The sequence below is a fragment of the Homo sapiens genome, chromosome 14 (assembly GCF_000001405.40).
Source record: "Homo sapiens chromosome 14, GRCh38.p14 Primary Assembly".
Lineage (NCBI taxonomy): Eukaryota > Metazoa > Chordata > Mammalia > Primates > Hominidae > Homo > Homo sapiens.
Window position 1 is genome coordinate 87,561,743 of NC_000014.9, and position 22,576 is coordinate 87,584,318.

The 22,576-nt window shown below is 40.1% G+C and overlaps 1 long non-coding RNA gene across 1 annotated transcript in view; it reads right to left on the bottom strand.

Moving 5' to 3' along the window:
* Nucleotides 1–22,576, bottom strand: part of LINC02296 (long intergenic non-protein coding RNA 2296) — a 268,818-nt gene that overhangs the window by 217,097 nt on the left and 29,145 nt on the right. Inside the window, exon 3 of the long non-coding RNA XR_007064294.1 lies at nt 11,219–12,116. This is a non-coding gene — a long non-coding RNA (long intergenic non-protein coding RNA 2296). The remainder of the gene's footprint in view (nt 1–11,218; nt 12,117–22,576) is intronic.

Genomic DNA, 22,576 nt, shown 5'->3' on the forward strand with positions numbered 1-22,576 from the left:
AACATAAATAATCATATAAGGAAATTCATTTTTAAATCCTCCAAAATGTGCACTACCACTATCAAATTTGTGATTTGGTGAAATAGTTCTGAATTCACCAAGTAAGCAACCTACACTCATAGTCAGTCTTCAGAATAATTCCTAGCATTCAAAACTTCCCTAAAAATAAAATGATTAACAGACTTTTTTGTTGTTCAAATCATGCTGTTATTAGTCAAATCAGTTATACAATCTATTGGGTCATCCCATCAATAATTGACCTAAATATTTCTCACCCTCCAATCATCCAGTTGAACAAAGCAATTGTAGTACAGATATAAGATCAAAATATAGAGAATGTTTTCCTATTCCTGATGTTCCTCTAACATATAGCCCCATACTTTTCTGATATTATTTTATATATAAAATAGGTAAAATAAAAAATAAATATGCCATTAATAGAAAATTCAAATTATTTTTAATCTCATAAAATGAGGAACCTAGAATCTTATAAGAACTCAGGGGGGGAAGTTTGATACCTTATTGAAATGAACAATAATCCAACTTTTTTTTGACAAATCCTAGAAGCTCACAATAGCCAATTATTCAATGGCATAGTCTCCTCAAATTCTAGCTCACGTGACACCTTCTCCTTCTATTAAAAATATGCATATGAAGAAAAGTACTAATGGTATACTGATATAGTTTGGCTGTGTCCCCACCCAAATCTCAACTTAAATTGTATCTCCCAGAATTCCCATGTGTAGTGTGAGGGATCCAGGGGAAGGTAATTGAATCATGGGGACTGGTCTTTCCCATGCTATTCTCATGATAGTGAATAAGTCTCAGGAGATCTGATGGGTTTATCAGAGGTTTCTGCTTTTGCTTCTCTCTCATTTTTTCTTGCCACCACCATGTAAGAAGTGCCTCTCACCCCCACCATGATTCTGAGACCTCCCCAGCCATGTGGAACTGTAAGTCCAATTAAACCTCTTTTCCTTCCTGGTCTTGGGTATGTCTTTATTGGCAGTATGAAAACAAACTAATACTATAAATTAGTACCAGTAGAGTGGGGCACTGCAGAAAAATTACCCAAATATGGAAGCAACTTTGGAACTGGGTAACAGGCAGAGGCTGGAAAAGTCTGGAGGGCTCAGAAGACAGGAAAATGTGGGAAAGTTTGGAACTTCCTAGAGACTTGCTGAATGGCCTTGCCCAAAATGCTGATAGCGATATGGACAATAAGGTCCAAGCTGAGGTGGTCTCGGATGGAGATTAGGAACTTGTTGGGAACTGGAGTAAAGGTGAGTCTTGTTATGTTTTAGCAAAGAGAGACTGGTGACATTTTGCCCCTGCCCTAGAGATTTGTGCAACTTTAAACTTGAGAAAGATGATTTAGGGTATCTGGTGAAAGAAATTTCTAAGCAGCAAGGCATTCACAAGATGACTTGGGTAATGTTAAAGGCATTCAGTTTTATAAGGGAAGCAGAGCATAACAGCCTGGAAAATTTGCAGCCTGACTATGAAATAGAAAAGAAAAACCCATTTTCTGGGGAAAAATTTAATCTGGCTGCACAAATTTACATAAGTAGCAAGGAGCCCAATGTTAATCCCCAAGACCATGGGGAAAATGTCTCCAGGCCATGTCAGAGACTTTCACGGTAGCCCCTCCCATCATAGGCCCAGAAGCCAAGGATGAAAAAGTGGTTTCATGGGCCGGGCCCAGAGTCCCAGTGCTTTGTACAGCCTAGGGACTTGATGCCCTGTGTCCCAGCCACTCCAGCCATGGCTGAAAAGGGGCAACATACAGCTCGGGCTGTGGCTTCAGAGGGTGGAATCCCCAAGACTTGGCAGCTTCCACGTGGTATTGAGCCTGCAGGTGCACAGAAGTCAAGAATTGAGCTTTGGGAACCTCCACCTAGATTTCAGAAGATGTATGCAAATGTCTGGATGCCCAGGCAAAAGTTTGCAGCAGGTGTGGGGCCCTCATGGAGAACCTCTGCTAGGGCAGCATGAAAGGGAAATGTGGGGTCAGAGCCCCCACAACAGAGTCTCTAATGGGGCACAGTCTAGTGGAGCTGTGAGAAAAGGGCCACTATCCTCCAGACCCCAGAATGGTAGATCCACAGAAAGCTTGCACCATGCACCTGAAAAAGCCACAGGAACTCAACACCAGCCCATGAAAGCAACCAGGAGGGAGGTTGTACCCTGCAAAGGCACAGAGATGGAGCTGCTCCAAGACCATGGGAACCCACCTCTTGTATTGGCATGACCTGGACATGAGACCTAGAGTCAAAGGAGATCATTTTGGAACTTTAAAATGTGACTGAACCACTGGATTTAAAACTTGCATGAGCCTTGTATCCCCTTCATTTTGGCCAATTTCTCACATTTGGAACTGCTGTATTTACCCAATACCTGTATCCCCATTATCTCTAGGAAGTAATAGCTTGCTTTTGATTTTACAGGCTTATAGGCAAAAGGAACTTGCCTTGTCTCAGATGAGACTTTGGACTGTGGACTTTTGGGTTAGTGCTGAAATGAATTAAGACTTTAGGGGACTGCTGGGAAGGCATGATTGGTTTTGAAATGTGAGGACATGAGATTTGGAGGGGCCAGAGGCAGAATGATATGGTTTGGCTGTGTCCCCACCCAAATCTCAACTTGAATTGTATCTTCCAGAATCCCCACGTGATGTGGGAGGGACCCTTGGAGAGGTAATTGAATCATGGGGACTGGTCTTTCCTGTGCTACTCTCATGATAGTGAATAAGTCTCAGGAAATCTGATGGGTTTCTCAGGGGTTTCTGCTTTTGCTTCTCTCTCATTTTCTCTTGCCGCCACCATGTAAGAAGTGCCTTTCACCTCCTGCCATATTTCTGAGGCCTCCCCAGCCATGTGAAACTGTAAGTCCAATTAAACCTCTTTTTCTTCCCAGTCTCGGGTATGTCTTTATCAGCAGTGTGAAAACAAATGAATACATCTATCGTCTTAAGGATGGGGGGTCAAGGCTTTGGCTAGTTTGCTAGGTCCCTTCACAGCTAATCTCAAAATCATAGCCCTGTGGCTTTCTAAACACCCACTAGAAATTGTACCTTGTACCACGTTAGAGTTATATTGTGTCTGATGATCAAAATATGGTACACAAAAAGATCCTATGTTCGTATACCTATATATATTTTTTAAATATTCAGCAGTCTAGAAGAAAATTTTTAAAACTCAAAAATACTTAATGAATAAGATATCTGATCAGTTATTTATCATCATTTCTTTTAATTTCTGGAAGATGTGTCTTCTCTTCAATCTGAGGAACCACCATGCTGAATATGTTTAGGGACAGGAATTGATTAGAAAACTTAAATACCATTATCAAGTCAAGGTTTCACTTCCAATGTTAGCTTAGAAAACCAGAATCAAACTCCTATTGAACAGCAAAAGTAATTAATCCTTCTATATTCTCCTCAAGTGCAATTATAGCACTAATGCGGAAGAAATTTTTTTCTGAACATTTTCACAGCACAGTTTTCAAATTGCCTACAATAGACATTCTATTTTTTAAAGTCACAGTAGTACCTAGGAAATTAGAAGACTTTGTGTGTTCCTTTTTTGCATGGGGCGGGTTAATATTGCTGTCTTCTTGTTTGCAAACTTTATTTATTCTACTAATAACGTGGAGAGCCAGTCAACAACAAAATACTTGAAAATTAATTACATGGTTTCTGAAGTCATATTCAGCTGCACAACCAAACTGTAGGGCCCTGGATCAAGGTAGATTTGTCTCTCATTCTCTGAGAACTTTGTAACTAATCAATTAATCCCAAACCAATTTTCAAAGGGAAATGTTAAAATTTAAACAGGAAAATGTCTACCTCTGTATGCAAGTGGAAAGATGCATTTGTATTTATCTGTGTGTGTGTGTTCTATGTATTTTACTTGTTTATGTCTATACAAATTTGTGTACATACACATACAAAAATATTCAGGATATATGTTTATTCATCCATTCATTTAGTGAATGTCTATTGAATGATAAGTGTTAAATTTTAGTATCATTGAGCTATTGCCACAAAAGTGCTGCTCAATAAAATGCACAAAACAGAGTGGTTTAAAACATAATATTTTACTATTATAGCTCATGTGTCTGGAGGTCACTGAGGGATCTACTCATCTAGGCTGGGCTCAGCAGCCCTCAGTTGTCTTGATCCTGTTTGTGAGCTGGTTAGCTCACTCCCACATGTATAGGTAAATCAAAGGCTCATGACTACAGCGAAAGTACAAAATGGAAAGCAACATTATGCAAAGACTTTCTGAGGCCTGTGCTCAGAACTAGCATGCCATGACTATGCCTTATTTTATTGGCAGAAGCAAGTCACATGGTGATATAATTGGGATATTTGTCCCCACCCAAATCTCATGTTGAATTGAAATCCTCAGTGTTGGAGGTGGGGACTAGTAAGAGGTATTTTGATCGTGGGGCGGATCCCTCGTGAAGGGCTTGGGCCAAGCACTTGGTGGTAAGTGAGCCCCTGCTCTGAGTTCAAATGATATCTGTTCTTTCAAAAGTGTGTGGCACCTCCCTGCACTCTCTTTTGCTCCCATTCTCATCACATGATATGCCTGCTCCTTTTTTGCCTTCTGCTATGATTGGGAGCTTCCTGACGCCTCCTCAGAAATAGATGCTGCTCTGCTTCCTGTACAGCCCACAGAGTCATGAGCCAGCTTCCTGTACAGCCCACAGGGTCATGAGCCAGTTAAACCTCTTTTCTTTATAAATTACCCAGCCTCAGGTATTTCTTTATAGCAATGCAAGAACCGCTTAATACATATGGGGTAGGGAATTAGATTCCACCTCTCTCAGGAGGGGAACTTCAAAATCACATAGCAAGAGGAGTGGATACAGAGACAGATAAAGGAGGCACAGCTGCAATCTGCCACATATCCCAGTACTCCCCTTAGATGTGGAAGTCCTTAGCAGTAGCCAAAAGAAGTATAATGATAATCTGGGGTGAACAACACGTTTAAATTTCTGTTTCAATATCCAGTTCTCAAGACATATTTCCTGATCCAACACAGCTGATAAGTCCTCATGTGTTTATGGGTAAAAATACGTATTCTCTTAATGCACAACATTGGGAGAGAAAGGAATTTGTTCCCTTTCTTGCTTACCCATGAATTCTGCAGAACATCACACAACAGGGCATTTGGAAACAGACAAAACTTGTATTCAGAGACACCTCCCCCACCTCTTACTCATTGTTTACATCCATTTGGGGTGTTAGAAATATTTGCTGGAAATTCTGTCAATGTTGCTTTCTCTAAATTTGCAAAAATTCCTATCCCACGTAGAGAAGTCTCATGGAGTGACTGAAAAGATCTTTATCTATGTTAGGAACTTGACAGCTGAAATAACAGAATGTAAATCCAAATTCTTCTAGCATGAAACTCATGACACTTTTAAGTCCTCATTTCTCTCCTTCTGCTTAAACTGAGCTCTACTAGGAAAAGCCCCTGGGGAACATCGGTTCCTGACTTATTTGGCTTAGTTTGAAAACTGCCAGATGCCACCCAGGATACTGCATTAGGATCCTGCCATAAAACTTCACTTTGTGCTGACTCAATTTCAAATGAGCCATGAAGTATTACATTCTTGAGAAGTGGAAGAACTTTCACTGGCTTTTCGGCAGCACATCAGCTGAAGTCATAGAAGAAACAGCAAAATAGGTCATAATGGATTCGGGGCTGTGTTTATAACCTGGACAACAACTGTCACTTTGTGTTTGGGGAATTGTTCCAGAATACGAAAACTGAATGTTAAGGTGTTGAACTGTGAGAGGTTGTCATATGAATAGGCAAGTGATTTTCTGACCAGAGCACAAAGAAGCTGTGACCAACTAAGACAGCCCTCGTGCCTCACCACGAATAGAGTTGTTTAATTGGTGACTGGATGTTCAATTGTGAGTTGGCCAAAAATGGGTCTCTTGCTTGCTATTTGTTTGCATCTTTCCAGCACTGGGTGTTTGGTGTGTGTTTTAATATCTAAATTTAAAGATGCGCATGGCACTTAACTCACAGTGGAAAATGCTTTCCAGCTGGCCCTAGCCATCAAATGCAAATATGACTTCAGCTCAGCACACTTCTGATATTATAATTGGCATGTATAGAAAATGAATTCCCACACAAAGTTATCATTTGTGGCTCCAACAGAAGCTGATAAAATACTTAATAGACTTTTAATAGAGCTTCTGAGACCCAGATCATGAAAAAGTAAGCATGCCATGCCATTCATTCTCTAACTTTCCATTGGCAGTGTGAGGCTTTCCAAAAAAAAAAAAAAAAAAAAAAAAGATTCACAGAGGTTTTTCTGTGGTGTTCACTTACAGATTGGATGAAAGCCTCGTGCAGCTGACAGCTTTTGTTAATAACTTTCCTCAGTAGAGAGGCAGGGTCACCAGATAGAAACAGCTAGAGGGAATCTTGCAAAAGCAGGCAAGATGCTAAAAAGTGGGCTGGTATGGAAAGCTCTTTAATGGCAAAAAAAAATGTGTATAAGGAGCAAGGCAAGTTTTAACTAAACCTGGGCTTCAGAATTAGGAAATAAGAAAATGAAAGGAAAAAAACTGTCTTTACTGAATAATTGTTCTCACTGCAATATTCTTTTTCTCAAAATAACTAAATTACTACTTCATTTCTTTAAAAATTTTATCGATTGAACTATGAATTATATAATCTCAATGTTACCTTCTATGTCTCTGGTCAGTAGAATAATGTCCCTCATCTCCAAAGATGTCCGTGTCCTATCTCCTAATCACAAGAACCTATGAATACGTTGCTTTACATGGCAAAGGGACTTTGAGGATGTCATTAGAGGTAAATATTTTGAGATGCAAAGATATCCTGGATTATTTGGGTGGGCCCAGTATAATCATAGGAGACTTTAAAAGCAGTGAATCTTTCCCAGCTGAAGAGAGGTGCTAAGATAAGAATAACCAGAGAAATGCCATTGCAGTCTTTGAGGATTGTTTTAGTTCGCTAGGGCTGCCATGACAATATATCTGTCTTAAACAACAGAGATTTATTTTTTCACAGTTCTAGAGGATAGATGTCCAAGATCAAGATGTTGGTGGGTTTGATTTCTCCTGAGGCCTCTCTCCTTGGCCTGCAGATGGCCACCTTCTTGCTGTGTCTTCACATGGCCTTTCCTCTGAGCACATGCATCCCTAGCGTCTCTTTCTCTTCTTATAAGGACACCAGTCACACTGGTTTAAGACCCCACCATTAACAGCCTCATTAACTACCTTCTTAAAGACTTTATCTCCAAATATGGTTTCATTTTTAGGTCCTGAGATTAGTGACTTCAACATGAATTTTGGGGAACATGTTCAGCACATAACATAGATGAAAGAAGAGTGTCATGAGCCAAGGAATGTAGGTGGCCCGAAGAAGCTGGAGAAGGCAAGGAAATGGATTTTTCCCTAGAGCCTCCAGAAGGGAAAGCAGCTCTGATGATGCCTTAGTTTTAACCCAGTGAAAACCATGTCAAATTTCTAACCTACAGAACTATTAGAAAATCAATTTATGTTGTTTTAAGCCACTAAATTTGAGATTTTTTTGTCATGTTAGTAACAGAAAGCTAATGGAATGTCAAAACTTAAGGACCAAATAAATACATCTTGAGACCCTACTCTGTATCCATCTATTATTATGGGCAGTAATCTACCTCAAAAGGCTAGTGTCCATTTCCACTTGTTCCATAAAAAACACCCCAAAACACAGTGGCTGAAAATATCACTCATTTATTTTGGGTCAAATGTCTTAGTGAGCTGGGATTAGACTGCTCAAGGGAAGGTAGTTTTGGGGGCTGGTGAGGCTCTACTTCTCCTTACAGGTCTGTGAGTTAGCTGAGGTGGCTTTGCTCCACACATATCCTTAATCTAGGACCAGCTAGCTGCCAGACGTGTTCTTATCATAATGACAGAGACTCAAGAGAACAAGCCTATATACCTCTTAAAGTCAAATCTTAGACTGAAGTACTGTCACTTCCAACCACATGCCTTTGGCCAAATATTGTCACATGGCCAAGTCCAAAATCAAAGGGCAGAGAAATATACTCTGCTCATAATGACACCCATAAGAACATGTCAAGAACATGGATGCAGAGAGAGGTGAGGATCTGGAGTCATAATGCATTCTACCAGGGATGCTGGTCCAGTTGCAGAGATAACTAATAAATATGAGACAACAAATGTGACTTGTATAATAGAGGGTGAAAGTACTGATGTACTAGGAAGTATAAACTAAAAAAGTATTATCATATTGCCTGTTCTTTTGCTTATATCTAAAATGTATCTGCTCTGTCTTGCACATATATGGAAAAACATTTCACCATGTTCATATTAAAAAAATGGGGAATATAACAAGGAATTTAGTGGTCTTAAATTGAAATTGAATTTAATACTTGTTTTCATAAGAGATCCCAAATATTCTTAAAACCAACAAATAATAATCATACGAAATATCTGAAGTTTTGTTTGAATGGAAGAGAATAAGCTTGGAAAATTCTGACTCAAAATATTAAATTACTTTCTGTAGTAAATTGCAAAGTGGCCACAAAATTATCCCACCCTTATTTGCATGCTCCTTTGCAATATGACTTTGCAGCTCCTCCAATCAGAAAAATTGAGCCTTTTTTTCCACCTCTAAAATCTGGGTATGGCCGTGTGATTTGCCTTAGCCCTGGGACATTAGCAAACGTAAAGCAATTAGCTTTAAAAGCTCTTGAACATTGGGCCTGTTTCTTTCTTGCTGTGGGACCCCTTCCACAACGAGGTGAACAAGCATGGGCTGTCCTCCTAGAGGTAGCTGGAAAACCATGTCAAGAGAATTAATGGCCATTCCAGGTGTCCAGTTGTTCCATCTGAGGGTGCAGACATACAAGTGAGGTGATCCTAGACTACTGAGCCCCAGCCAAGCTTGTCCAAACCAGAAGAACCAATAAGCAACCCATAGAAGCATAAGGAATGATAAATGTTTGTCCCATTAAGACACTAAATGTTGGGATAGTTTGTTATTCAAAAACTGCTTACTGGTCAACCCCCCTGGCAAGTGAGGTCTTGTTGCTGACAAGTGTAAAAAGACCCAGAATTCAAACCCAAAACATTTCAGTCCCAACCTGGGGGACTGAGAGCTCTTAAAAGGTGGCAGAATTCATGTGCACAGCTCTGTAATACACATGTACACCATGCATTGTCTATAATAATATTGACAATGGCAATATTAATCATAGGTATCACACTCTTGCTATGTATCTAGAAGTGTATTAATGGTGTGCCTTGATTATTTCGTTTAACCCTAAGCACAAACCTAGGTGGTGGGTCTTATTACCTATTTTACAGATGAGGAAATTCTCAGAGGTAGAAACTTGTCTTGTGTCACCAACCAGCCACCTGACACTTGAGCACACACTCTTAATAAATATCCCTCACTGAGTAAAAAAATGCCTTGTGCATAAAGATACTAATATTTCTCAAATGTGCATAGATTGCATTGTGATGCATAAAATATAAAGATATTTAATGATACTCCTGGTTGTAAAATAGCATTTAAACGCTGTTTTATTTTTACATTAACATGGCATTATTATATTCAAATAACTGTCAGATCAATTTATCTATTTTTCCTTACCTATACACAGAGCCAGATAACTGAGATTCACTAATTAATATATTTATATATTTCTTTAACAGAAAATTATTAATCCTCTCCTATGCAAAATTTTCTTTAAGAAATAGATATTTTTGTAAATTTTGAATTTCCTCTTCCCCCTAATTTTGTAGATTTTTTGATAGTCTCAAAGTACATGTCAGTAAAACATGCAAATACAAAATATCTTTACAGTAATATCTATTTTTTTCTTTTTTTTTTTTTTTTTTTTTTGAGACAGAGTCTCGCTCTGTCACCCAGGCTGGAGTGCAGTGGTGCGATCTCAGCTCACTGCAACCTCCACCTCCTGGTTTCAAGTGATTCTCGTGCCTCAGCCTCCTGAGTAGCTGGGAGTACAGGCACATGCCACCATGCCCGGCTAATTTTTGCATTTCTTTTTTTTTTTTTAGTAGAGACAGGGGTTTCACCATGTTTGCCAGGCTGGTTTCGAACTCCTGACTTCACGTGATCTACTCGCCTTGGCCTCCCAAAGCACTGGGATTACAGGTGTGAGCCATCGCGCCCAGCCAATATCTAATATTTAATGAGCACTTTCAGCATATTGTCTGCTGAATATATGAACGGGTGATGCACAGGACTAAGCATTTTAAATATGTTATCACCTTTGTCCCTCCAAATAACCCACAAAGTACTATTTATAGCCATATTTTACCAATGAGAACACTGAGCCACCAAAACGTTAAGTAAAGTACTCATGGTCATACATTTAATAAGAGATAAAAATGGGAGACATGTCCAGAAATCTGCTGCCATGTTCCCCAATATGCCTCTCAAACATCACCAGTGTTCTGAATACCTGCTGCAGTCCATCAATGCCTAGACTAGCCTATACATTTACACCATTTTTCTAACCAGTAGAATCTTGTTAGAAAAATGGTGTATTATATTACCATCTTTATTTTTGTTTATGGAGAATACCAGTTACTTAAAAATTTCTGAGTATTCAACCATGAGAGGTCTCACAGGCCTTTAGCGGGACTGAGTTGTGCATTGGGTCTGCTCTTTGGTTTTCACGCCTATGTATTAACTTTGGAAAACATTTTTTGATTCTTCCAGATACTTGTAGCTAGATTGGTATCCCAAATGAAACATTCAGCAGCATCTTCAACGCATTTGGGTAGAGTGCTAAACTAGGCTCCTGTGTTTCCCACACAAACATTCACCCCCTATTTTCATTTTCTGGCTGAATTTTATCTGTTAAGCAAGTCAAGACTGGCTTAATGTTTTTGCAGATAATCCTACTTGCAGCAATGTTAACTCTTCACTCAACCTTATTACCTGAAGAACAAGCAGAAGGAGGCAAATTCAATTGAGATAATTTCTTCGATTTTTAAAAAATTCTAAGCACATCACTAGCCTTTCCATTTTAAAAATCATTAACCTTATGCTGATACAATAATTACATCACTGTTGCTTTTTCAAAAGCCACATTATTAATTCTAATTTGCTACTGCTGGCCAGAGGTAAAAGGTTTAGAGGTAATGGGGGCAATTGAAGATTTTTCAAGAACAAAATCTTACCTGCATATATTGTTGGAACTGAGCTGATGGGATTTGTCTCTTGCTCCAGATGTTTTGAAAATACCTTTTCTTCCCAAATGTTTTCTCCATGCACTCTTCTTCCTGATTTGGTCTGAGGATGGACTGCAGGTTGTAAAATTGATGAATGTCTCCCTTTTTCCATTCTCTCACCAGATGAACTGGCCAAACATAAGAGGTTTTGAGAAATTGATATGTTTTATTGTTCAGATAAAAAGTGGATCTTCTTGTCAAATTATTTTTCCATAGTAATTCCTTCCAGGATGAGATCATTGTCTGTATTTATCTTAATCAGTCCTCCACTTTAGTAGGTAAATTTGATAGTAAATTAAATATAATGACAGAATTCTGTCATTCACAACATGTCCTTCATACTCCAATGTGTTTGGGAAAATAAAGATCTGGGATATATAGTACTTCGGGATTCCCGTCGATTGAATGTTACAGAAGATTCCATGGGCATCATTCATATTATTAAAAAGTCTTGCCACACTCAAAACACCATGAACTTGGAAACAAGCTCAAGGATCCTCATTCCTAAGATGTAAATCTTTTCTAACCCTCAAATGCTCTCGAATGTACCCACTGCTCTCCTCTTTTCTTCTTAGACTTTTTAAAATAAACGAATGATACATCCTTTAAAAAAAAAACTATCCCAAACCTCTAGATTTATGTCTCTCTTACTCTGCTAAACTTTACTCTCAAGTGTTTCAGCAGCAAATGCTTCTCCCTTCATAGATACAGCAGTCGAAAAGCACCAGCATCAGGCAGGTGACATCAGGCAGGGGGCTTGCAAGAGGGCAGCAAGTCTGGAGGAAAGCCCAGGCTCTGTGTAGAGGAACACCACTCCTCAGCCACAGCCAGTGTTGCTAGGTGAGCACTGAAATAAAGCATGAAAAAATAAATATTAACTTTTACAGGAAGGATCATGAGTTTTTGATACCTGGCTTAAATTTTAAACATTCTGTAATCCATACACATACCAAAAAGTTCCTATGGTCTAAATGTGTTGTCTGTGTGTGGCTTATGCTGTCAGTCTGATTTTCTGATTACCTCTCCTCACCCCAGTAGACCGTATTCCCTCCCTCTCCTGAATTCTCATAGTACTTTATACCTCCCTTTTTTTTGCTTCCCATACTCTGCCTTACTGTTGCGGTAAATGTACTTTTTATCTGTATGCCTCTGCATTAGTAAGAAAGCAATCAATCAATAGCTGGCTTGAATATCAGGATATTTATCATGCACCATAACAGATATTCCATGGTAGGGTACCTCCAGTCTGGATCATTTGAACAACTTAAAGGTAGCATCAAGAACCCAGATTATTTCCACATTTTTGCTACCCTGTTGGCTTATCTGAAGGCAAGCTCTCCTCTGGAGAGCAAGTGAATATTGCATTTCCAGGCACACAATTCAAAAATAAAAATATCTTGCATTTCTGTGGGTTTCTTTAGCTCAATGAGAAAACATTTCCCAGAAGCCTCTGCAGCCAACTTGACCAATATTTCCTTGGCTGGCACTGAATCACAAAACCTCAGCAAACCAATCACTCATTTACCAGTACGAGTTTAGGCTCGTCTAAGTCATGCGATAAAGGAGGAGCCATCAGAACAAAATTGGCATCTTCCAGCAGAGAAGTAAAGTAACGCCTGCATGGAATTTAACCAACAGTTTCTGTGACAATCTCTTACCAGACTATAAATTTCTTGGGAATAAAGATTATGGTTGTGAGTACAATAGTTCAAGAAAGAGTGGTAAGATCTTAAAGTAAAGCAGTAGGATGGTGACAATGAATTAATTCACTGCCAGTGCACTTCAGCACATAATGCAACATCCAATAAAGATTAAGTAAATATTAGATTAAACAGATTTCAGAATTCTCTAAATAGAAGTATATCCAGGGCACTATAAGAGAAAAAGGGAAGAAAGCAGTAACTGTCTGTCTGGGTCAGGGAAGTCTTTATGGTGGAGGTAATGCACCAAAACCAACAGTTATCCAGAGTGGTATCTGTTGCTAAATGAATCTATTATCCTTCCACTATTATTGCCAGGTGGCATTATTAACACACATGTCAAGTGTACTGCAAAGTCACAGCAAGAATTTACTATTCTTCTGTTGATCTTCACTAGGCTTACAAAATTTGAACGTATCTCTTGCTCTAAAATAATTTTAACAACAGGAAAGCAAAGTCACAGCCTACCTGTGTTCCAAACAGTAAGGTCTTATGACCTTTGCATGTTACAAAAAGGTAAATCAATAAGCCTGGAATATGCTTAATATTCCTTAAATACCTGTCCTGCCCATCTCTAAATGGAAACATCTTGAAATACAGTTTTGGGGGGTTTTTTTTGGCTTTCAGAGTGCGGAGGTTTTTCATTCCTTGCCTCCAGCTTCCCCCACACTCTCCATTTTATCCCAGATTGATATGAATAAAGATTGCCACTTCACCTCAGCCTTGCATTTTTCTTCTGAATGATACTAGAATTAGGTAATCAGATCAATTTATTGTTAATCTGGAGGAATTTTCTTTCCAATGAGACTTGTCAGATCCATTAGTGTCCTTTGAAATCACTGTAATTGACCCAGCAGAGGCAAAATGGGAAACGGCACCTGTCTGCTCACAGTGAAGGCAATCATGCAATCATGACAAAACAGGCGCTATCGAAAACAGGAATCATGGCTCCTTTCCCCTCTCAGAGCGCTTGTATAGTGGCGGATGCAACTAGAACCCTAGAAGCCTCCCTAACTCGAGTGCCAACTGTAAAGGCATCCCCATGAAACAGTCTATGGATAACCAGTAAAGAGGAAAAGGAATGGCACACAGACAAGAACCAAAGCCACTGCCAACAGACCCATCGGAGCACCAGGCTGGCAGCCATTCATCCAGTGGAGGACATTTTGAATTTCCCAGCCATCCTAGGGCATCAACTGACACTACATGAGATGGAGGAAGTGCCTGGTTAAGAATCATGAGAAATCAAACATTTGTGTTTCTTGAAACCAATATTTTTTGGGGTAGTTAGTTATAGAACAACAGGTAGCTGAAACACAGAGATCCTATGAGAGAAACTGTAAGGGGCCTGAGGCTGATACAGAGAGAGCCACTGGTCCTAGAAGCTGCCTCTCTTGCTCATATTCTAAAGACCTTCCTTTTCTATTTCCAGGATTTTAGTCTCACACTGTGAGGACAAAATGTGTGTATGCCCCAAAAATTTGTATGTTAAAACCCCAATCATCAGTACGATGATATTTGGAGGTTGGGCCTTTAGATGGTAATTAGAGCTAGATTAAGTTCTCAAGATGGAGCCCTCATGGTGGATTTAGTGCCCTTAAATTATAAAAACAGGAGGAGGCCAGGCGCACTTGGTTCACATCTGTAATCCCAGTACTTTGGGAGGCTGAGACAGGAGGATTACTTGAAGTCAGGAGTTCGAGACCAGACATGGCCAACATGGTGAAACCCTGTCTCTACTGAAATATGAAATTTGAAATATGAAATACTGAAATATGAAAATTTGCTAGGCATGGTGGCAGACGCCTATAAATCCCAGCTACTTGGGAGGCAGAGGCAGGAGAATCACTTGAACCTGGGAAGCAGAGATTGCAGTGAACTGAGATCACGCTACTACACTCCAGCCCGGGTGACTGAGCAAGACTCCATCTAAAAAAAAAAAAAAAAGCTGAGAGATAAGATTTATTTTTCTCTTTCCATCATGTGAGGGAACAACAAGAATTTGACCATCTGCAACCTGGAAGAGGGCCCTCACCAGAACCCAACCATGCTGGCAGCCTGAGCTCAGACTTCCCAGCCTCCAGAACCATGAGAAATAGATTTCTGTTGTTTATAAGTCATCCAGTCTGTGGTACATTTTTGTAACAGCTCACATGGGCTAAGACACCAGTAAGTCCTTTTTGGCTCAAGATGGCTTCTGTTTTTTTTTTTTTACTAATTAAGCAACGTGAGGAAGTGACAGAGTTCAGGTAAGTAAGCTCAGCTCTGGATATTGGTTATAATCTTTGGGGCTGCGAGAGTAAAGCAGGCTCCATCCCAGAAGGGTCCAGGATACTGGTTCCAAGCCAGAAGGGAGCTGAGGAACAGAACAGAAGCCCACAGCGGCTCTAGGAGAGGCAGGCAGACAATGCCAAATCCAAAACATAAGGCAGCAGCTGCTCAGATCTCCCAGACCTAAGTCCTGCCACTGGGGAGCAGCGCTGAAGCTACATGTGGAGAGGAAGTGATCCTGAGAGCATCAGGAAGACAGACAGACAGCTCTAGAGGCAGACAGGGATGGACATAGCCCAAGTCCTTGTTTGCTTCAGCCCAATTCCCTCCCTGTGGAGCTATGTGTGCATGATGAGTTTGAGCAGCAAGTGAAACAGAACGAGAGGGAGGAAAGGAAGGGTAAGTAGAGAACTGAAGTATCTCAGAACCACCTTTCCCAGCGTGGGCTTTATTTTATGTCTATGTATTATAATTCCAGGTACAAGTTTGAGCAGCTTAGAGTCCAAGAGCATTAAGTGGCAGGAGAGAACAGACGGAGTAAGCTTGGATCTGACATAAGCACCAGCTTGTGGTCATCCTGTATGCATCTGATGACCCACTGGATAGACAGAGCCACTTCACAGGAAGTGAAGGTCCACACGGGTTGATGGAGTTGTTGGCAGACGAAGAGAACTCTAACTCAGAGCTGGAATTGAGAGAGAAGCCCTGTAGCAATCAGGAAGAGCTCGGTTATACTGTCATGACAAATAACTCAAAAATCTCTTGGCTTACAATGGTAAGGTTTACCTCTCACTCACACTATGTCTATTGTAGTAGACAATAAATCTCTGTTCATCACAGTCACTCAGGGACTCAGGTCTTGGGAAGATCCATCCTGCCATAGCTCTGTGGTTGCAGAAGCAGAGAGAAAATGGTACCCAACATGTTAGAGGCTCTGCCTAGCTATGACACACCACTTTTGCTTCTGTTGCACAGGCCAAAGTAAGTCACATGGCCATACACGCATTAAACAAGGTAGGGCTGTATAATCCTTCGACAGAGGGGGGTTCTAACATGAGTGAAGAACAAAAGCCTATTACGTGATCCAGCCTAGAGGAAAGACCCCAGACACATAAAAGCTAAGGTGCTGAGCATCTTGTCATGTCAATGATTCCAGTGTGTGAAGGGGCCAGACATGTGATTGCATCTACAGTGTTAGGGCCACAGAAAACAGGTGAAAACAATTCATGAAGTCAAAATTGAATAATAGTAATAGAAGCTGCCATCTATTGACTCTCCTCTGTTTTCGAGCCAGACTCTTTTTATGCACGATTTTAATCCTCATCGTATGAGGATCATTTTATCTTCACAAGAATTCTACCAGGGGTCAGAAAGATTATATCACCTGACCTAGGTCAAAGTCCTAGAAAGTGGCAGAGCCAGGATTTGAGCCCACTCTGGTGACTTCCAAAGCCCATGGTCTTTCTGCTCCTTCCACAATACCATTCCACCTGTCTTGCACAACTGCAGTCAGGGCCAACCACAAGCCACATGTGATCGGACCTGTCAAATCAGTGGCCTGAAATCTTTTGCAAAGATGTTCACATCAGAATCTTCAGTTTGGTGTGAGTGTACAGTATTGTGCATGAGACAGGAATGGCCCATAGGATGAGCTTAAAATCAAGTTTGTTCTCCAAATGAAAACCCACTGCCCACTCCTTATACCTACATCAAGACCTAAATGCAACAGAAACCAGCATCTAAAGAGTTATTTGTGGCAAATCAGTTTCAAACTTTTCTCTTTCATGCCTTATGGAGAGTCCGGTGAGCCCTATAGCAACAACAACAAAAAATCCCCAAGTCAGATTGCACTGCAAAGGAGTAGCTGTGAAGGCTTCTGTCACACATAGATTATCATATTCACAGGCTTCACTGATGAGCCGAGGGGATTTCACTTTGTTAGACTATTTAAGATTCACTCAGAGCATCATTTCTGCTGAACTGCACACACATAATGCAGGTAGTCACTCTTCTCCTTCATGTCTGCTTGTACTTGTTCATTTCATGTAAGCCTCTTGCCTTATAGAGTTCAAACTAAAATGCTATTTGTTATTAAGCATTAAAAATACTCTCATACTATGAGAAATAGTAGTTTAATCTGGAGATCATTGAGTGGCTTCTGGTTCCCCAGCTAAAGAAATCAAGCTCCACAGAGAACACACACATCACTTTGGCACATGCCCCAGCCTTTCTCAGAGCACGTCTGAATTGTCCACTTTTTGTTGTATAATACAAACCAATAAAAATCTTCTTGGAAGAAGACTTTGGTCACCTCTTGATGTGTATCTCTCTGGGAGTTCAAGGAATTTTCAGGAAAATGCAACATCTCACTGAATGACCCAGAAACATTCAGCAACATTAAACAAGCGTTTAACAACATTAAATGTGGTTTTCTGTACCACATATTATGCTGTCATATGCTCAGCATTAGACAAACAAAAGTAGATGAGACATTATGCCTGCCCTTAAAGACTCTGTTTGGAGGGGTTATAAACAGACAAACACTGTGCTGCAGAAATAATACAAGGTCCAAAAAGACACTATAGGAAACACCAATGTCTATAGCTTACTTCTCCTTCTTTGCAAAATTTGTAAGCCAAATTAAAATGACCACCTTCAAATAAAACAGAGGGGATTTTTGACTACATGATGCCAAACAATTAGAGATCTACATTCAATGAAGGGCGGCATAGTCTGATTGTTGTGTGTAGGCTGTGCTGCTGCCACATCGGATATGCTTTTTAGATGCTGCTAAATATTTCCCTAATAATGAGTTAATTAAAAAAAAAAAACAGTAAGCCAGGCGTGGTGGCTCATGCCTGTCATCCCAGCACTTTGGGAGGCCAAGGGGGGAGGGGGGGCCAGATCACCTGAGGTCAGGAGTTCGAGACCAGCCTGGCCAACAGGGTGAAACCCTGTCTGTACTAAAATATACAAAAATTAGCTGGGCGTGGTGGCAGGCACCTGTAATCCCAGCTTCTCAGGAGGCTGAGGCAGGATAATTGCTTGAACTTGGGAGGCAGAGGTTGTGGTGAGCCAAGATCACACCACTGCACTCCAGCCTGGGTGATAAAGTGAGACTCTGTCTCACAAAACAAACAAACAAAAACACAACATACCAGTTTCAGCTTGGACACATGCGGAGCTAGAAAGAGCATCCAAACTTAAACACTAGAAAAGCTGCAAATTACCAACTCCTCTTAAGCCCATCAGAAACGTTTAGATGGTAGTAAATATAGACAAGGTGATATCTAAGGAGAGACTTGAACTGCAGGGAAAAAAACAGGCACCAAGGTTTTGTTTTAAAAAGAAAATAGTTTAAGGCAAAAATGGTAACAATATTCTGGCTGTTTATGTAAAAGGAAAGTATATGGCAACAGTAGCACAAAGGATGGACATCGGGAGGATGGGAGGTAGGTATCATTCTAAACATGCACCGATGCCTCCACCCAATGCCTCACGCCTCAATCCTCAGAACATGTGAATATAATGAGATGTTGCTTCCATGACTGTTACCTTATATGAACAGTTGACCTTCACCAGCTTCTGCTCATTATTCAGGTGTAGCTTATCTAATCACATAAGCCCTTAAAAGCTGAGAACATACTCAGACTGGGAAGGAAGTTAGAGGCATTTAAAGTGTGAGAAGGACCCGATGTGCCATTGCTCCTTTGAAGATGGAAAGGATGCATGAGAAGGAAAGCTAGTGGTCTTGAGGAGTTGAAGACAGCCCCAGATGACAGCCAGCATGGAAACAAGGGCTTCAGATCCACAGCCAGAGGGAACTGGATTCTACTAACAGCCTGAATGAGCCTGTAAGAAGATCCCTCCCTGGAGCCACCAGATAGAAGTTCAGCTCAGGCAAGACTTCAGGTGTGTGACCATTAGCAGAGAACCCAGGCAAGCCCATCCAGATTTCTGATTTACAGAACAGTAAGATAATAAACAGGTGTAGTTTTATGCTGCTATGCTTGTGGCAATGCTTTACAGAGAAACAGAAAACTAAGGCATGGCCAATCAATGCAGACAAAGAAGAAACAAGGTTAAGAAGTAAATGGAGAAGTTTCCCAAAAAAATCATCTAAGGAAAAAGAAAGTTTTTTGAGCCATAGGGGATGTTGCTGTGGCAAGCTGGGAGTAGCAATAAGGAAGGGCATGCGTGTTAGCCAAGGAGCAGTGTCCCTGCTCATTTCTTTCTACCGCAATCAATAGGCAAGAATAATCCACTTGCACATCCACGTGTGGCTTCCTTCCTATTTCCAATACTCAATAGAGTCTCTGTTGTAAGAAAGGTGTTCCCACACTCAAAAGAATAAGGCCAGGTTGAAAAGGAAACCTCAGTTGAGAACTGAGCTCTGATTTTTTAACTTGCCCAAATTCCTATCTAAGGGGTCTAGGGAGTCATGCCTTACAAACCATAAATTCTCATCAGATGGGCTTTATTTAACCCTTTATATTGTGACTTACTTTCCAGTCTGACTCTAGCATAACATCACGTGACAAAGAAGAAAGTTGAAATTATTTTACCCCAAAACATGTTTCTTTGCCATATTTTGAAATGGTCCTGCAAAGCTGTCCTTGGTGGAGGGACAGGTGCATTTGTAAAGAATCTCTATTAACGTAGCCAGATCTTTTTCTTCCAGGCCCTCCCAATCCTGAAAAGATTAAGTAAGAGTTTAGCACCTTTTAAAGGTCTGAATAGGAAACATTTGTCATCTATTATCTCTAAGGGCAGCCACTATAAGACTTCAAAAGAACCTTGGTCTCCACAATATTTTATCTTAACCTGAACATTTCCTTTCTAATCAATCCAAGGTCTTTAGACAAACTCAACCAATTGTCAATCAGAAAATGTTTTAAGGCCAGGCACAGTGGCTCACACCTGTAATCTCAGCACTTTGGGAGGCCGAGGTGGGCAGATCACGAGGTCAGGAGATCGAGACCATCCTGGCTAACACAGTGAAACCCCGTCTTTACTAAAAATACAAAAAAAAAAAAATTAGCCAGGCATGGTGGCGGGCACCTGTAGTCCCAGCTACTCGGGAGGCTGAGGCAGGAGAATGGCATGAACCTAGGAGGTAGAGCTTGCAGTGAGCCGAGATTGCAACACTGCACTCCAGCCAGGGCAACAGAGCAAGAGTCCATCTCAAAAAAAAAGGAAAGAAAGAAAATATTTTAATTTACCTATACCCAGGAAGCACCCACTCCCCACGTCCTGAGTTGTCCCACCTTTCTGAACCAAATCAATGTATTTCCTAAATGTATATTTGATTGATGTCTCACGCCTCTCTAAAATGTATAAAATCAAGCTGTACCCCGACCACCTTGGGCACATGTTCTCAGGACCTCCTGAGGGCTGTGTCATGGGCCCTGGTCACTCATATTTGGCTCAGAATAAATCTCTTCAAATATTTTACACAGTTTGACTTTCTTCATCGACAGAGTGTTTGGATTTAACTTTTTTACCATGAACTTTTTAATAGAAAAGAAATAGCTACTCCATAAATGATGTTGAAACTCTTATTCAAGCGTTGATAAAGGTAAAATTTCCTTCCAGTTGTGTTGAATCTAGGTAGAGCCAACACAAACTACTGCTACCATGCTGCCTAGGATTTTTTCCCAACAAAATCAATGTCACGGTTTTTGAAGTGCACACAATTCAGTGCCACAAAGATCCCGGCCACTCAGAAATGTAGCTGGTGCTATTTCCAAGCTAACTGGTGACTGGTTTTACACAATATGCTGAACTTAATTATTTGAAAACAATGTTCTGTATAATACTGTAATGGTGGCTACATGACATTATGCAGTTGTCAAAATCCAGAGCATATACAACACAATGAGTAAACCCTAATGTCAACTATGGATTTTAGTTTGTAATAATGTATTACAATTGGCTGACCCATAGTAAGAAATACAACCGCAGTAATCCAAAATGTTAATAATGGGAGAGGGAAGAAAAGGAGCAGGAAGTGTATAGGAACTCTCTGTACTTTCTGCTCATTTTTCTGTTAATCTAAAACTTCTCTGATAAGATAGTCTATTAATATTTTTTAAAGTCCAGATTAAGATAACAGCTCCAGTCTTCTTCAGAGACCCATGAAAGTTCCCTTCTCCCTGCACTTAGGCACACATACAGAGGCAGGAAAATACTGAGCACAGGGCAATGTCGGCTTCGATGAGACTGTCCCGCCTTGCTGGTCAGAAGAAACAGATTGACAGCCAGACACCTCGCTTGAATCATCAAAGAACGGCCCTGGGTTTTACTGATTCTGGAGGATGCAACACCAATAGTCAAGACTCTTCATATTTTCAGTGGCTTCAACAATGTGGCAGGAAAGCACACAGCTAATTAAGAGGTGAAAAGCTGCACAATGAAGAAACACTGAAGGGCAAACACCACTGAGTTAATCAGAGAATGTTCCTGACATGAAGCCATTTTCCAGTACTTCTATTTCTGTTCATGCCTAAGCTAACAAGAAAATTATTAAATGTAAAATTCACCCTTTTCCTTGGAATAAAGTTGTGGCCCCCTTGGCTTTACAGAAAAGGGGAGAAAATCACAAGTAATAGTGAAAGAATAAACAGACCACAGAAGGTAACTATTCTGAGTTTTCAAGGCAAATGTTTCCTTTTGAGAAATATTTCTTCCAAGAAAAAAAAATTATCAGAGAAAAATTTCTGATCAATTCCATAAATCGATTTCAAGAGAGGTTTACATATATGAAGCATAACAAAATTTAAATCTTGAAAGACATGAATAGCAGAATTTAAAATGTTTTTGGTGCAATGAACAGTAGACTCTATGAGGCAGAAAACAAAATGTATTACTTAAAATATTAACTCAAGAAATCTTCCCAGAACATAAAGACATACAAAAAAGTACTACTGAAAAGAAGCTAAGAGTATGATGAAGGATTGATTCATGAGATCTAAAACAGGTAATCTTCTGGAAAGAAGGGAACAAAGCAGAGAGAGAATAAGCAATAGATCATATAAGAACATTGCTTAGGAGGAAGAAAATTTCAGACTCACAGGGTCCACTGACAACTAAGCAAAACAAAATAAAACATGCACAAGTAGGTATATGTGTTAATTTCCTAGTTTCTAAGAAAAAGAAAATATTTTATAAGCAGTCAAGAAGACAGATACAAAGAAGAAGAAAAAAAACTGAAAGAAAACAATTACTCACACACACACACAAAATGAAACTTGTTTTGACACCAAAACTGCAGTAACACTAAATGGCCTTATATTTGAGTTTACTAGATAGCTTTCATAGATGAGATTCAGTCAGC